The 18,663-nt window shown below is 34.3% G+C and overlaps 1 long non-coding RNA gene across 1 annotated transcript in view; it reads left to right on the top strand.

Moving 5' to 3' along the window:
* Positions 1-18,663, top strand: part of LINC00410 (long intergenic non-protein coding RNA 410) — a 35,644-nt gene that overhangs the window by 10,664 nt on the left and 6,317 nt on the right. Inside the window, exons 2-4 of the long non-coding RNA NR_027039.1 lie at positions 4,480-4,603; positions 12,424-12,540; positions 14,696-14,713. This is a non-coding gene — a long non-coding RNA (long intergenic non-protein coding RNA 410). The remainder of the gene's footprint in view (positions 1-4,479; positions 4,604-12,423; positions 12,541-14,695; positions 14,714-18,663) is intronic.

Here is an 18,663-nt window from a genome sequence, read left to right as displayed (position 1 = left end):
ATTTTTTTCCCATTTGATAATATCTCTTGTATATCTCAGCGATGTCACTGGCTACAGTTGTCACCGTTATGACCACCAAATTTATACCACCAGGACATATCTTTTTTCTTGATTTTACAACAATGCATCCAGCCTCTTGTTGGGCTTCTCCAAACACTTGCATATTCTACAAATACCTCCAGTTCAACGTGACTGAAATGAAGCTCATCATTTGCAATCTTACAAGACCCTCAATGTGTTTTTATCCCAGTTCAGTGGAGGCAACCACCATGTGCCCCGTTAGTCAAGCCAGAATGAAGCACACCCTACATTCTTTATTCACTCTTCTTCCCTGCCTCAACAGGCCATCCAGTCTTCTTCTAGAATATATCCTCAGCACCCTTCTTTCCCAGTATCACTTCTTGATTCAGGTCCTTGCCATTTCTACTTGATATATAACAGACTTTGGATTGGTCTTATTGGCTCCTGCTTCTTTCTTAACCTATTTTCAACTGTTACTAACTTTTCTAAAATGAAAATAATATCACATCATTCGCCCCATTACTCCAAAACAAAATGCTAATGTGTTTCCTTGAACTTTGGCAGAAAGTTTAGGTTTCATTTCCTCTGTGTGAAATGGCCTTCCTCTCTGTCCACTATGTGCTGTTCTGTTGGTTGTGTAGTGAACTACCATGCACAGTGGGCTAGCTTTCCTCTGATTTCTGTTTCCAACTTCCATGAGACTTATGTTAGTGCCACATCATGTGAGATGCCCATCTTGTGTAACAGGGTAAGTTACTGTTAGGTAACCTTCCATGTCTGGAATTTGCCTGTTTTCTATAATAAACTGGGCTTTTCTTTAGGAAAAACAAAATCTCTATCTCTCCAAGACCTAGCAGAAAGTCTTCAGGTGTTCAATTACTGGTTGAATTAATGAGGGTCTCCCATATTTTAGAAGCTGTAAAGAAAAAAAAATGAAAAAGACAACCCCCTTATTGCCTGATGTGAGTGGTATAATTCTGCATTTATTTCAATGGATACAGTGGAAATTAAAATTATATTGTGGTGACAATCTACTATTTTAAATACAGAGGGGATTAAACAGCCTAATTCATTTAAATAATCTCCATGCAGAATATCCATCAGAGCACTTAAAAATTACGAACAGGTTTAAAGGTCCCATTAGCGTTTTAAAATACAGAATTCAACAAAAGCATGGAAAAAGGCTACATTTTACTGTTTTTAAAGTTTAAAGAACAAATGTAATTTACATGTGAGTACTAGCATAGCTAATACTATCGTCTGCCACTGACTAGTGCTTAGAATAACACATTTTTAAGAAAATTCTTATAAGCACGGATCATGGAGACCTCCAAAATGAAAAAAATAGTAAGACAAATATATATTAAAACATGAAAATTTAAGATTTATAATTTGCAGTTCCTCCTCAAGTATCCTCATAATAGCACCACGATTAACTAAAATCTGAAAACAAGAAAATGACTTAGCTGACTTTAAGTTATGTGGATTTCAAATATGCCTGTAGATCTCATTTAAAAATATATTTATATAAGTATTTTAGTAATTTTTCTCTGAGTTTAGATGATTTTTATAAAAACCATTTCAATCAAATAATTCAGAATAAAGCCCATATACATAAAACATGTCATTCAACGAGGTAGATAAAATTTTACCCCTAAATCCAAAATATCCTCAGGAGTACTTCATATTTTAAAAACATACATTTTACATTGTAATGTTTACATTTTGTATCAGAATTATAAAAACTAAGGTTAATTAATAAACATTGGAAAACCCAAATTTCAAGACTTTAAGATATCTGAAGATGAACCTTAAGATCATACTTCTCACTTATGAATTTTCATAGGTGTATTCTCCCAAAGTGTCAATAGTGAAGTTAGAAGAGATTAAGGCTTTAGATGATATTTTAAAACTGGTTACATTAGGCAAATATAAAATATTGCAAATACAGAAGTGTATATATTTGAGATAGATACAATGCTTCCTGGGCCTCAGGGGGCCCCATTTTCCAACACCTAGAGATAAGTGTCCACCCTCCTCTGTCATTACAGATACGTATGTGAACAAATTTGAGAAGAGTTTCAGGCAGCTTAAGCTGAGTTGCACATTGCAAATCCACCCAAGGCTATTGTTCAATTATTCATGAGAATAAAGAAGCAGGCGTACAACTTCTCTACTTTATCCCTGGCTAGGTGACTTTAGATGGAAGAAACCGGTGGAAACTACTTCCATTTCACTTCACAGAAATCCTTAATATATTGATAGACCCTCAAGTACCTTGTCCAAGACTAGAAACATAATAGCACTTGCAACAGCACTAATTCCCTGAGTGACAATCAACTGTGTAGAATTTGCCACTTAATTATCATCACTACAGTAGTGTATTACTTGTATGACACTTCATAAATTCTTGTTCCTGATGTTTCAAAACCTATATATTTACTAAGTTTCCATTTTTTTCTTATTTCATTACATAATTACTGTTGATATTATTACTAATATCAATTTAGGATTTGATTTTACATTAAAGAAATGCAAATTAAAATCACAATAGACACCATCTTACACCAGTCAAAATGGCCATAATTAAAAAGTCAAAAAACAACAGATATTGGCAAGGCTGCAGACAAAAGGGAACATGCATACACTGCTGGTGGAAATGTAAATTAGTTTGGCCACTGTGGAAAGCAGTTTGGAGATTTCTCAAAGAACTAAAAACAGAACTACCACTAAACCCAGCAATCCCATTACTGGGTATACACACCAAGTAAAATAAATCACTGTACCAAAAAAACACATGAACTCTTATGTTCATCCCAGCACTATTCACAATAGCAAAGACATGGAATCAACCTAGGTACTCACCAATGATGGATTGGATGAAGAAAATGTGCTACATATACACCATGAAATACTCTGCAGCCATTAAAAAGAATGAAATCATATCCTTTGCAGCTGGCGATCATTATTATCCTAAGCCAATTAATGCAGGACCAGAAAACCAAACGCTACCTGTTCTTACTTATAAGTGGGAGCTAAACGTTGGGTACATATGGACATAAAGATGGAAGCAATAGATACTGGGGACTGCTAGGGGGAAGGGGAGGGGGTTGGGGGCAAAGGCCGACAAGCTACTTATCAGGTACTATGCTCATCACCTGGGTGATAGGATCATTTGTACCCCAAACCTTGGTATCACGAAATATACCCATGTAACAAACTGCACAAGTACTCCCTAAACCTAAAATAAAAGTTAAAATTATTTTTTAAAAATATTTGATCTTATAACATAGCAACATTTTTAGCTAAATTAGGAATATACCTTGTTCATAATATATCTAAGAACAATAACTGATTTTAACTGTTTTTAAAATCTGTATGTATGGTAAGCACATGTACTTAATGAATGAGTTTGGAAGGATGAGTTGAGCTGCGGAACAAGACACACAATAGATTTTCACAATTTCTAAAATTCACATTTATCTCATATATGTATAAATATATATATACACACACATATACACTATGACATATACACACATCCACACATATATATCATGATGTATGCTCATATCCACACATATAATATTATATATAGTTTTATAATGTATTTTTAAAAGATCTCAAATTACATTTAACATATTCATTATAGATAAGAAAATGATACTAGCAATACTTACCGTAATTCATTGTTCCTTGGAAAATCTTTAGGGTCAATTGAAGATACAAATTTATGCAACTGAAGATACAAATTGCAGATAAAAATTAATTGTAATACAATACATTTAAATCAATTTTACTTATTATTACATATTTTTAGTATATTAAAAATTGATGACATTGAAAGCAGTAGTATAATTTTTTCAACATCAATTTCTATATAATGGTATATAAAACACACAAAATATCCGCTGTGATGTGATCCTTATGAATTGGTCAGCTGTAGATCTTCCTAAGCTGTTTATCTACTATATATCTGAGTTAACCTTTCATGTCTATTTGTAGAAGAAAGCTAAAACCACCTCTTAAAATTTAAAACAAGGAGAAATGAAGATAAGCAATACAAAGGCATATGTTGGAAGAAGCTGGGTTTGAAGACAGACGAAGCTGATTTCTGATTTTTTCCTTGGCCAATTATTTAATACAGCATGACTACATAAGCCCTGAGATTCATTTTGCTGATTTATAAAATGGGGTTTCAAAGCCTACCTCACATATTATCTGGATTTGGAGAGGTCAATGGAGTCAGAGCTTAAATAGTGCTAGGATCATAGTTATAGGCACTCAGAAAATTATTACTATTTTATAATAATTATGAAACACTTGAGAGTTTTGAATAACTTTCTATTTGTATTTTTTCCCCAGTAGAAGACTCAGCAATTATTTTGCTCTAAGTATCTCAACTGTAGAAAATTTTTGAACCTGATGTTTTTATGTCTTTTTTTTTTTTTTTTCTAGAAATGGGATCTCACTCCATCACTCAGGCTGGAGTACAGTGCTGAGATCAAGGCTCACTGCAGCCTTGAACACCTGGACTCAAGTGATTCTCCTGCCTCAGCCTCCTGAGTAGCAGAGACTACAGGTACACACCACCACACTTGGCTAATTTTATCTCCATCTTTTATTCTTTTAGAGAAAGGGTCTTACTTTGTTGCCCAGACTGGTCTCAAACTCCTGGCCTCAAGCGATCCTCCCACCTCAGCCTTCCAAGTAGCTAAGATTATAGGCGTGAGTCACTGAGCCTGACACTTTTATCTTTTTATGGTGATTCTGTAATTAGCTCAAGTTGGAAACACAACAACAAAAATCAATAGATGACATTTATATGAACGTGTCTTCCATATTATGCCTTAAATGATCTCAATGTTTCCTGGAAATGGTGCCTTTTATAAAAATATTTTGACTTTAAATGCAGAGGTCAAAATTAGATAATTTGTAAAAGGAAATTTATTTTAGAAGACTCCAACATGCAGCTTAATAAACGTGAATATAATACATTTTTATGAGGTTGTTTTTATTTGCTCTTGGGTCTATAAAAATATCTGTTTTTTCTGTCTTGACCTATGAATATTTATCGTATTCTCTTGAATAATCTCACAAGGATGCTGAGTCCAGGTTCACCCTGGCAATGAGCACATGCAGGACTGCTTAGGTGGTATGAGAAAACTGGGCTTGTTTCATGGTGAGTGTATACATAAATATCCTAAATCCTACTATTTAAGCCCATCAAAATTGGTCAGTGGAAGGTTCAAAAAGTGCATTTAAAACCCTTAAAATGTCATACAATGATAAAAATATCTTAGTGTTCAAAATAAATTATTTTTCATCTTTTCTTTGATTTAATGTTTGAAAATACTCTGTATCTGAACAAAAAAATACTGAAAATTTGTTTTACCAAGGCATAAGGAACTAATTATTGAGCATCAGGGTCTAATGATATTAGAACAGGAGGGGAACAACAGAGAAACAAAGGGCATTGGAAATCTTGTTCATGAGAAAAAAGGTAGAAAATGAGAAAATGTGTTTTGCATTACTGGTTATATGGATCTTTGTATTTACGTACTTGTGTTTTAAGTTGTCCTTGTGAAAATTGATGATGATGGCTTCAGATACAAAAGCTAGTGGAAGAGAGTGTACTTTACATTTTACTCACTGATGTTGCAAGTTATCAGATGCTATTAGGACCTCTTTTAGAAAGATTTATGATAATACGTATTCATCACAAAGCCCATCATTCTGGAGAACAGAAAGTGATGCTGCATTCATTTTGTGTGATTAATGATTTGCATGTAATGAGGAAAAACGTTCAGGACTAATCTACAATTGTAAATGAAAATGAACTTTATAAAGAGATTTTTCTTGTTAATGTCAACAAAAGAAAGAAACCCTGCATATGTGCAATATTTGCAAGTATTTACATCAGGTAACAAGAACCATTATATCAAGCAATAAGACTATCTGTTAATTTGTATCATAATTAAAGATTCACATTCTGTAATACCTCAGACCTCTAAGCATGTTTAATAAAATTTAGGTGGTGTATTTATTTTGCTATCCCAGATAGGATATTAATGAATGGGCTGATTCAAACCTAATTTGCATAGTAAGTGAATATAATTAAAACCAGTCTTTCATTAAAATCTCACAAGAAAATATTTAATCTGTAGCATATTTTCAGGAAGGCAAGTAGCAGAGCTTATCTTCAGGTCTAGCACATTCTATAAAATCAGTCGAATAAGAAAACAACTTAGGCATATTGTTTGGTTATTTCCTTGCCACTGGGCTTTGGCATCATAATCACTTATTTTGGGCAAGTGTGATCTAAACTTCATTATGATGTTAAAACCCTGTAAACATAAAATGAGAAATGTTGTTTTTATTGCTGGCATAGATATTTGTTTTCCTTATTGACCTGTGGGAATTTGCTAGTTCAAATTGCACCCTCAAGTTGGAGAAGAACATAGTTCATGAACCAAATCCATATCAATGTTAAAAAATTTGGTTCTCATGGTATCAAACTAATCATTACTTTAAAGTTTTCCAACCTTGAAAATATTATGAAATACTCATTTTTGTTATATAGAACAAAATAACTTTTATTTCACTTAAAATATTGTTGAGGCAAGTTCCTTAGAAAATTCAAAATACTATACTCTTCACTAATAAAACTGTTCTATTTTTTCTGACTTCTTTTTGATATATGGATCAGCTCTGTGTGGTTGATCTTTCCTTCTCTGAATATGGCCAAATCACTTTCAGTATGCTATTTAACTGGGGTGGGTTAAAACAGGGTCATTGATTGCCTGTTCTCTGATTAATTTTTAAAAGCCGTATTTCTTTGGGTCTCATCATAAAATCTATATCCTTTAGTTATCCGATGCCTCCTTCTGAATACTGGCTTTCTTTTCCTTTTTTTCTCTTACCTTTTCACTTACCTTTCATGTCTTTATTCTCCAGTGGTCTCCTTTCCCTTGAAACACCCTTTCCTCTTGTTTCATATTGATTTCTAGTTTACTTATGGCTCTGTATAGATTAAATACCTTGAGGAGTAATGGATAAGGTTTCTTTGACTGTTTGACTCCAAACCCTTCCTCTGCTACATTCTGATCCTTGATCTTTCTTTATCCACTCTCTAAAATTGACCTATTATGTGTATTCAATTAGTATTTTCCTGCAACTTGAAGTATGAAGTTTAGTGGAACAGACTTCTCTCTTGGTGTGGTAAGAAGTGTTACAGCATAATTACATACAAATTAGAGCTAAAATAAACAAAAAATACAATGAATTACACCACAGAGACCTCTTACACTCTTAACATTAAATACAAGGGGGAAAAATTCTTCCTTGTTACATTATCATATAGGGTCTTCCTTACAACTTCCTGACACAAACACAGATGCTGTGTAGCCTAATGGCTAAGATGCCAAGCTGTAAGGCCACACGAGTGGGTTCAAATTCCAGTTCTTCTATATGAAGGAGTTCTTCATAAAGCTCCATGAACTCAAGTTGCGTTGTCCAAAATTAGAAAGGACTGAAGTACTTCTGGTATCTTACCTTGTTGGTACCTACCTTGTAAAAATTACGGCATGCAGAAAAAGAATATTTGCTCCAGGGGGTGGATACATTCATTTGTAAAAGGAAGTAGGGAGAAGGACTAACCCCCAAAGCCCACTTTTCCAAATTCAACAGTCAGATAAATCACTCCTATCCCATGGAACACATGTGTATAAGGATAGGGCAAGAGGCCTAGAGTGTTATCCTAGAAGAGTTACTGCAGAGGGAACCATGGAGCTAGGGTAAACAGGTTCTCACATGAATTATGCATGATGAATGCACAAAATATTTTCTCTATAATTTATCCTTGCAACCTATGAAACCATTAATAATGTTATTTTAATTAGCCTCCAAAACAGTCTATAAGTCTTTTTACTATCTTAAGTATTCTTATTCATGATATCTTATTAATAGTGACAGGAGGCAGAGAAATTCTATCCAAAAAAAAAAGGTAGGGTCCCTGGCGAAGCCCCACCCTCAAGCTGGAAATCCTGAGACCACGGCCCAAAGTGAGAACTTATATCCCTTTTCCCCACTTGAATGTTGCCTTTTCCTAAGCCATCCATGGCCCTGCCCAACTCCATCCTGTGCCTATAAAGACTCCAGACTCAGCTGGCAGAGAGGAAGAACAAGCTGGACATTGGAGAGAAGTGGCTTGACTTCAGAGGGACAGCTTGACGGCATAACTCCTGAGAAGAATCCAGCCAGAGATGGCTGGACTTCAGAATAAGATTAACTGCACACCTCCCCACTCCCATCATCTTCTTTCAGCTCCTCTTCCCACTGAGAGCCACTTTCACAAGCAATAAAATTCCCCACATTTACCATCCTTTAATTTTTTCCTGCAACTTCATTTTTCCTGGATGCCAGACAAGAGCTCAGGAGCAAGTGTGGATACAAAAGGGCCCACTAAGCCATTAACACTTAAGCTGTCTGTGGATGGCAGAGCTAAAAGAGCACTGTAACATGCCTACTGGGGCTTCAGAAGTCACATGCACCTCCTCTAGATATTGCCATGGGACCTGCACCAAGTTTGCTCCTGCTGGTGCCTAAAAGTGCTTGCCCGGGCTCCTGCACTCACTCACCTGCATGCTCCCTCCCATGAGGGGTGGAACATAGCAGGTCAGAGTGCATGGAGTTCGCTCCTGCCAGTGCCAAAGCAGCCAGCTGGTTCCAGCACTCGTGTACTCCAGTTTCTGCCTTGTCGACTCGCAAACTCCCTCCTGCAAGGAGTTGAGAGTGGTAAGCTGAATAAATGGGGCACTCATGTCACAAGTCCCATAAAGAAGTCAGGAAAATATCCTGCTTCATCATTATGATAAAAAAACTATCATAACCCCAAATGCAGAAATACCATTTATATATAGGTTAAAATACCATTTAACAAAAATTTTAACATTGTATTTGAAGAAAAATTTGACAGAACTGAAGGAAAAAATAGCAGCCCGATAATTGTAGGATACTTCAATAGATCACTTCCAATCATGAGATCAATCAAGTAGTAGAGGACCTGAACAACACCATAGACCAGATGAATCTAACAGACATACACAGAACACTCTACCCCAAAACTGCAGACAATATATTCTCCTGAAGAGCACCTGGAACATTCCCTATGATAGAATACATGTTAGACCAAAAACAAGTCTTTACATATTTGAGAAGATTGAAATCATGCAAAGTGTATGTTATAATAACAATGGAATAAAACTAGAAATCAATAGTGTGAGGAAAACCTGAAAATCTACAAATATGTTGAAAATTAGGGACACTCTGAAACAACCAATGGGTCAAAGAAAAATTACGAGGAAAATTAGATAATGCATTGTGACAAATGAAAATGAAAATGAAAATGCAACATAAACTTATGGGATGCAGTGGAAGAAGTATAAAGAGAAAAGTTTATAGCTGTAAATGCATACACTAAAAAAGAAGAAAAATATCAAAAAAGAAGAAAGGTTTCTCTCTCTACAAAAACTTGGGAAGTTTTCAGCTATTGTTTCATTAAATACATTTTCTGCATCTTTTCCTGTCTTTTCTCTTTCTGGGATGCCCATAATATGAATATTTGTACACTTAATGGTGTCCCATAAATCCATAAATCCTGTAGGCTTCTTCATTCTTTTTTATTATTTTCTCTTCTTGTCTGCGTGTGTTATTTCAAAAGATCTGTCTTCAAGTTCAGAAATTCCTTTTTTTCTTGGTCTTGTCTGTTATTGAAGCCCTTACTTGTAGTTTTATTTCATTCATCAAATTCTTCAGCTCTAGGACTTCTGTAGGCTTCTTTTTGTGATGAAGTGCCCTCACTTTCCCTCTATTACAATTATTAAACCCTGTGTTTTTACCAGCAACACATCCACTTGTGCAGCACATTCTATCCTTCCTCACCTACTTAAAATAATTGAAAAAAAAAGTTGCTTTAAAAAAAATCATTGCTCTGGCAACTTGATTTTGTGTGTTAATTATTGTCAAATCCCTCTCACATCATTATTTGCATCAGTATACAAACAACCTATTTCTCTAATTATTTTAATAAGCAAAAGCAGAAACAAGACACACTATGTCTTAACAATTTTTAAAATTATATGTCTATTAAAAATCAAGAAACAAACTAAAAGATACTATTTTATTTACTCATAATCCTATTCTTATTATTTGTCCCCTCAGGGGTCTGTTAATGTCAGTTCTCCTCTGGATAGCACCACTTTACTTTACTTCTATTTACAAAACTCCTTGGAAAAGTTTTCTATACTAATTTAATTCTACTTACACTTTTCTCTTGAACTCACTCCAACTGGGGCTTTTTTCTCCACAATTTAATAGCTTTTGTGAGGGTTCCCATGACCTTCCTGTAACTATTTCCATGGTGAATTCCCAGTTTTCACCTTACTTGAACCATCAGTAGCATTTGACATAGTTGAGCACATTCTTCTTCTTGATATACTTTCCTTTGCACAGTTACCAGAATATTACACTAATCCCCAGCTAGCATTCTGGATATTTCAGTTTTCCTTGAGTTTTATTAGTTTTTGCTTCATGTATTTTGTAACTTTGTTGTTTGCATAATTCAGATGTTATTTATGCACTGGTTTCCAATAAGCTAGATATGAATCAACTAATCATTTTGTATTGTTTTTATGGCGTTTTACAATGATTGTCATGCCCACCATTTTTACCCATGTTTATCCTTCCTGCATAATTTATGTTATTATCTACTTAATTAAAAAGTATTTTGTTATGTAATTGAGTGGGTGAACCTTGATATAAACCACTCACGATTCATTTAGTCTCTGGAATATTTCTAACTTAATTTGAAAATAGCTATTCATTTTATTTTGATTTATTGCATTTCTTTGAGTTTTATTTCTCATGTGTTTAATATTTTCAGACATGATTGACTTTGCTGAATTTACCAAATAAGTCTCTTTTCCCACCTGATTACTCTCCCTTTTAACTTCAGGTGAATTTTAGCTTGTGTCCAAATTTTTTTTCCAACTCGATGTTTACTATCTTGGAGGATGGAGATTTATCGAATTTATTATAATCACTGTTGATTCCAACAAATCTTACTTTTACTCTTTATTATTCATATTTCTGTATTGATTTTTCTTTCCTGACTTTTTATATTTTATTAACTTTTTATTGTAGTTGTTTTGTTATATCAAGAAGGATATATATATCTCACAATCTTTTAGAATCTAATAATTTAATTTATTTTATTTGTTTTCCTATCAATGACTAGATAAGATTTTCCCAAAGAACAAAAAAAGTAGCAAATTTCCACTTATTTTACTTTTATATCACTTTCCCTTTCAGATTGAGCATATTCTGAATACCAATGATAAATTCTCATTTTTAGAAGAATTAATAATTGTTTTGATAACACATTTAATAATTTCTTGGTACACTAATTTTTTTAAATTCATGTCTTTATTTGTATTGAAATCCATTTTTACAAAGTTGGAGTGTATACTTAAGATCTTCTTTCATAGTTTATGGAAAGCAGTCATTCTGAGGCTTTGTGTATTAAAACAATCCTTTTATTCTCTCTTAATCATGAAAATTTGGCTAGTAATATAACTCTATGCTCATATTCCACTAGAGGTTTAAAATAGTCTCTCTTTCTTCTAGCATTAATTATTGCTGAATGAGAAGTTAGAGTCTTCCCAATAAGATCCTTGTTCCTTTATCTGTGACGTTCAGAGTTTCCATCACATTATGTTTAGGTTTTATTAATTTTCTTTATGGAATGGTTTTGGTGCCCATTCAATTAAAAGGCTCATATATCTTCTTCTCTGTTTTTTTATTTTTTTCATCTAATTATCTTCTTCAACTTCTTTCTATTGATAACTTCTTTCACTTCTCTTAGATGGGCGTGTTAGTCCATTTTGTGTTGCTTAAAGAAATACCTAAGACTGGGTAATTTATAATGAAAAAAGGTTTATTTGGCTTATGGTTCTTCAGGCAGTAAAAGCATGGCATTGGCATCTGCTTGGCTTCTCCTGAGGCCTCAAGAAGCTTTTATTCATGGCAGAACGTGAAGGGGGAGAAGGCGTGTCACAGGGCAAGAGATAGGTGGAGGATCCCAGATTCTTTTTAGCCATAGATCTCTTGGTAACTCATTACCATGGGGAGGGCACCAAAGCATTCATGAGGAATCCACCTTCATAACTTAGCTCCCATTAGGCCTCACCTCCAACATTGGGGATCACATTTCAACACGACATTTGAAGGGAACAAAACATCCAAAATATGGCAAAAGGTATTGGGCTCCTGGTCTCTTCCTGTCTCTCAATAATTCTTTCATATAATTTTCACTTTATCCTTTTTATTTTCTCTTTGAGACAGAGCCTCATTCTGTTGCCCAGGCTGGAGTGCAATGGCATGATCTCAGTTCACTGTGACCTCTGCCTCCCTGGTTCAAGTGATTCTTCTGCCTCAGCCTCCCAGGTAGCTGGACTAAAGGTGCGCCACCGTACCAAGCTAATTTGGGGGGTGATATTTTTAGTAGAGAGAGGGTTTTGCTGTGTTGGCCAGGCTGGTCTGGAACCCCTGGCCTCAAGTGATCCACCTGCCTTGGCCTCCTAAAGTGCTGGGATTACAGGTCTGAGCCCCTGTGCCTGGCCCTATCCTTCTAATTATGATTTTTCAGCTTGTTTAATAGTAATACAACTTTCTTCCTTAGCTATTTCTATTTTCCATTAAATTAATCACAGGTAGCTTCTCCTCATCCCCAAAACCTATACATTTACTTTTCATGACCTTTAACTGATTAATTTTGTAATAGCTTGTGCATGTGATAATTCCTTTAATCTCTCCTAATTTTTTTTTGAATTAATTAATTTATTTATTTTTAGAAATGGGGTCCTGCTTTGTCTTCCAGGCTGGAGTGCAGTGGTGTAATCAAAACTTTCTTCAGCCTAGAATTCCTGAGCTTAAGTAGTCCTCCTGCCTTAGTCACCACAGTCTCTCCTAGAATATTAATTTTACTTATCTTACAGTCTTTTTCAGTTTGCTTTATTAGTTCTACTGCTTTGGTGTTGATTCTTTTGTGGTTTTTTCTTTTGTTTGTTTTTTGTTTTTGTTCAACTGAACACCTTTTAAATATGTTTTATTTCATGTTTCATGCTTGTTATTAATTATTTATTCATTTGTTTAGATATCAATTAACCTATTTGTATTTGCCGGTTCTTCTTTCACAATATTACCTTTGGTGATTTGGGCAGAGGAGTGATATATGCTGTCAGAAGTGGCATGGTTTATCTCCTGAGAGGTGTCCTCCTGGAAGAGGGTTCTTCACTCTTGACCATCGATGACCTGCTGCATAGCCCTGCCTTTAGGGCTCCAGGACTGGGTGGCTTTAGGGCTCCAGGACTGGCTGCCTTAGCTTGTGTGCCAGTGTGATGGTTGCACTCAGTTTAGCAGAATAGCACAAGAAGAGAGATGCTGGTTTTCCCTGCATCCCTAAAGATATTTTCTCAAATAAGCCTCATAGAGCCCTGAAGAACCCTTCTGATTACGATGCTTGGACACATCTCACAATACTCCCACCTCCACAGCAGCTCTCCCCAACACCATATCTTCATGAGACTTTTCTTAGTCTTGCCTGATTGTCAATCCAGTCCTGTCTGCTTTCTCTTGTTAAGAATTGTTCAATATTTTTCTTACACTTCTGGTACTATTTCTTGCTGCCCAGCATTATTATAGATTTATACATTTTAAAGCATCTTTTTTCTTTTCAAGGGAATTTATGCAGAAGGCATAAAAGATACATGCACTTAGTTTGCTGTGATGTTCAGATTCTTTCCACTGACCTTTTATTTTAAATATACTTTAATATTTTTCCTTCCATTTGAACTTATTTGAATCAGTATTATTTTATTGGATTTGGGTTGTCCTGGGTTTTGTGGCAAAATATAATATATAATAATAGCTTTTTGCTCTTCATATTTTCTCTTTTTGCTGTTGAACACTACCTTCTGAAACTGACTTTATACTTTTTTCTTTTAACAGCCATTTCCACCATAACTTACTATTTTATCATTCCCTCTCTTTCAATTTTGTTGTTAACTCACATTTCCCGTCAATATATTGTCTGTTAGCAAAATTATCTTTAAAGTATTAACTTACATCTTGAATTTTATGCTTATTGCAATACTATTTCCATGTAAATAAGTGGATCTAATTTCTTTAAATCTTTTGACATCCTGAAAACTTTGCCTAGGAAGATAAAAAGTAACTTTATTAGTATAGTGAAAACAATTTAAATAAAAATCAAGCTATTAAACTCTCAAAAATATAACATGAACCAATTGTTTACCCCCAAAGTATTTGAAGCTCCTTCATCTCAAATTGCAAGCCCTGCCATATCCACCAATCTTAAACCAGTATATTATAATCTTTAAACCTAATCAAGCCCATTTCTCTCCCCATCCCATGCCTCCCACACTTAATGAAAGACCTGCCTTAAATCAGATTCCAAGCCTTACTGATACCCTGACTTTGTTCTTCTCTTTCCGAGAGGCTACTACAACTGTTTTGGTAGTGTTCTCCCTTGCTGAGATAGTGTGTATCTAGCTTTGTGTGATTAACAGGTTGTTTGTGTTTTTTTTTTTTTCAGGGAGCCAGCTTTCAACAAGTATGTATTATTTATCTGATTTTCCGATTTGGAGAACAAAAATGTTGAATTTATAAGAAAAACATAAAATTATTTAAAAAGACATGAACCACACTGTAATAATAGCATATAAAATGACTATATAGATGCTTAAGCACATTTTACACTATGGGTATGCTAGCTCTAATTCTTGCTCACTAAGAAAGATAAAACTCCTAGCCATGGGTGCCTAAGGAAAAATTTCTGTTGATCTGCTTTTGTCTGAAAAAGCATTAATTTCCTTTCCTTTCCTCTTTATGTATCATTAATTCATTAATTTCCTTTATAATCATTATATCATTAATTTCCTTTCATTATATCCTGAATTTCCTTTCCTTTCCTCTTTATGTTCAACACTATGCATTTAAATGATTATTTCAAAAGGACATTTAAAGGGTTATTTCAAAAGATTTTGTTCCTTTTTATTGTTGTGTATTATTTTATGGTGTATATAAATCACATTTTCTTTAATCCATAATTGATGGATTCCTGTGTTGATTCCATGTCTTTGCTACTGTGAATAGTGATGTGATAAACATATGAGTACAGGTGTCTTTTTGGTAGAATGATTTATTTTCCTTTGTGCATATAACCAGTAGTAATTTATTTTTAGCTCTTTGAAAAATCTCCAAAGTGCTTTTGCCATAACGTGGATGTAGCTAGAGGCCATTATCCTAAATGAATTAAGGCAGAAGCAGAAAAGCAAATACTGCATGTTTCAGGTATAAGTGAGAGCTAAACATTGGGTACAGATGGACACAAAGATGGGAACAATAAACGTTGGGGATTCCAAAAAGGGAGAGCAAGAGGAAGGGGAAAGGGTTAAAAAATTACCTATCAGGTACTGTATTCACTACTTGGGCAATGGTATCATTAGGTGCCCAACCTCAGCATCATGCAATGTATCCATGTAACAAAACCTGCATATGTACTCCCTGAATCTAAATTTAAACATAAATAAATAAATAAAGTTCATTGTTTGTGAGTCAATCCCCAGAAAAAGTAAATAATTACTTCCTTGTTGTAATATTTATTTATTAGAGCAATGTGTTCCTCGATAAATTTACTCCAAGTTGTTCCTCAAAGTACAAGATCTTTATCAATAATGGTTTTAAGGACATGTACTTTCCTTTTTATACAATGTCTCCCTAGAGTTCTATGCTCTAATTTCCATATTTTTTCCTTATTTAATCTCTTATCTCTTGGTTATGGTGGCAGAGTTGGTAAAGTTTAGAAGAGGAAAATTTGTGTTTAAAAGCCACTCACTTATTAAGAGAATAGGGTAGCTTTCAGATGAAGTGTATCCCTAGAATGTAATATCTTTTGGGTAAAATGTATTTTATTAAGAAATTTGTGTGTAATATTTATGCACATTCCCCTTGAATAGGAAAGGTAAAGCTCTTTAGGCTTTATTGGTGAAGTTTTATGTTGTAGTGAGTCTCTTTCTATAGTAAGAAATTCAAGATGAGGAGAAGGAAGGGTTTTTTTCCACCTTCTTCACTCAAATAAACTGTTGTTTTGCCCATTGAGGATTACTAAATTGCTTAAGAAATTTCATTGTCAGTTAATCATTAGTGAGAATTAGGTGCTAAAGTTAATATATTAGCTTCACACTCTAAACATACCCTTTGTACAGTTACCCATCTGATGTTATTAGAAATGGAACAAAACGATTACAGAGACTTAGTTAAACAAAGGTAGAAAACCACAAAGTAAAATGCAGAATTAACCAAGCACTAAACCCTATTAAGCACATACTAATGAATTAAATAGTCTTAAATAGACTTCCTAATAGAAGACTAAATTATGATTAGCTAAAGGCAATCGAAAATGTAATTGGTACTTGGCAAGGATCTTTAGAATTCAGGCTGCCCTGAAAATGGAAAGTATAGGTGACAATATAAGTGACTGTATTACTTTTTACACAAAAATTGCTAATAATTTTAAAGCATATTTGCCTATTTGATGCCTTTTTAAGTTCAATAAACATTTAGATTTTTAAAAGTAAACAATTATAAACCACATGTAAACATTCATGTAAATAAAGTTTTAAAATTATTTTTGACAATTTAGCTGTATGGGTAAGTATTACTAAGGTTGGTGAACAAAATTAATTCACAATACCATCACTTTGTTTATCTACACATTTTTCTTAACACATTTTTTGAATACCAACTCTGTAATTTCACCTCATAGCTTTGGGGAGACTGAAGAATGCAGTTGGATTGAGAGATGACGGATAATATGTGTCACTGACTAGTAGGAAAAAACAGATAAAGAACATGATGGAAGGAAACAATAATGAATTATATTTTGGACTTTAGAGATGGTTCTAACTTCTGATTTCATTTTTGTAAATAAAAACCTAGAATTTGAATGTGAATTTTCTGCTGGAGATATTTTTGAGGGGATGATCAGACTATGGCTCACAGATAACAGGAGAACCTTAGGGTGAATATGGCCTTCTTGTTACAGCATGTAGAATGAGAATAGATGAAGGCTAATAAATAACAACATGAGAGATCCTGGAGAAGAGAAACAGAAGGGGACCTAACACTCCTGGAAACAATGAAAATGTGTTATCATGTTAGTTAGATTTAACACTGCTATAAAGAACTACCTGAGACTTGGTAATTTAAGAAGGAAAGAGGTTTAATTGACTCACAGTTGCACATGACTGGGGAGGCCTCAGGAAACTTACAATCATGGCAGGAGGCGAAGGGGAAGCAAGCACCTTCTTCACAAGGTGGCAGGAGAGAGAGAGACCACACAGGGAAAATTACTGCTTTCAAACCATCAGATCTCATGAGAACTCACTCACTATAAGGAGAACAGCATGGGGAAAAACGCCTCCATGATTTAATCACTTCCCGCCCTGTCCCTCCCTTGGCATATGGGGATTACAATTCTCTGGATGAGATTTGAGTGGGGACATAGCCAAACTATATCACTTATGAATGTGCAATAGATACTATAACAGATTAATGTGTTGGTATTTACTAATCATTCTGTCTATCCCAGATATAAATTAATGATCCAGAGTATGGTTTTACCTATTTATGTAATTATTAGGTTTAATCTTGCTTAACAGCTGGGAGTGTATACTTCCAATTTTGAAAGAGAAAAGATTCCTTTTGCCTTTTGTCCTAAATTCAAACAGCCTGACCCTAACAGCTTGTTATTCTAAACTTGGCTAGGCCTGAGTCATAAAAGAGGGGCCATGAAATTTTGGAGAGTTGGATATTGCAGTTCGGTGAGTCTTTTCTGATAACCAGCATAGTTTCGAGGAATAGAGGAGGGATTCAGTAAATCATTGCTGTAGGTTAAATGAATCTTTTGGGAGTTGCATAACAGTCTCTATCTCCTGTATGTGCCTATATCGCTTATACTTTTATTGAGTGGATGAGAGAAAGGAGGAGGAAGTGTAGATAAATAATATTTAGGGTTTGTTAATGCATGAATTGTTGCTTTGATAATATTTATTTAGTTCATAGCTTTCTTAGGATTTCCCAGAGATTTAAGTAAGTTTAAGTTTTCCCAAGGGCTTCATAATTAGTTCTTCTATAGCACATTGAGAATTCCCAGATCAACTGATACCCAAGTGTTGACATTTAATTTATAATGTAAAAATGTGAAAGAGATAAAAGCATTGATGTTTATCTCCCTGTCTCTGTATTTCATATTCTGTTAAACATACCCATTTTAACCAATATTTTTCTTTATGATTTATTACACTCTAGTGTGTTGTGCAAAACTCACAAAAAGATTTTTCAAGTTTGTGGTATGAAACTTTTTCAGTTTTGCATTTGTTTTGTGTAAAAGATTTTTGACTTTTATATGTTACCTTCAGTGTATAAATTGGAAATAATGGATTTACAGTCAAATTTTCCATGCATTAATGAGATCCCATAAAGCTTTAGAAAGTTTAGACT

Source organism: Homo sapiens, chromosome 13, assembly GCF_000001405.40.
Source record: "Homo sapiens chromosome 13, GRCh38.p14 Primary Assembly".
NCBI classification, from domain to species: domain Eukaryota; kingdom Metazoa; phylum Chordata; class Mammalia; order Primates; family Hominidae; genus Homo; species Homo sapiens.
This window is presented reverse-complemented; position numbering and strand designations above follow the sequence as displayed.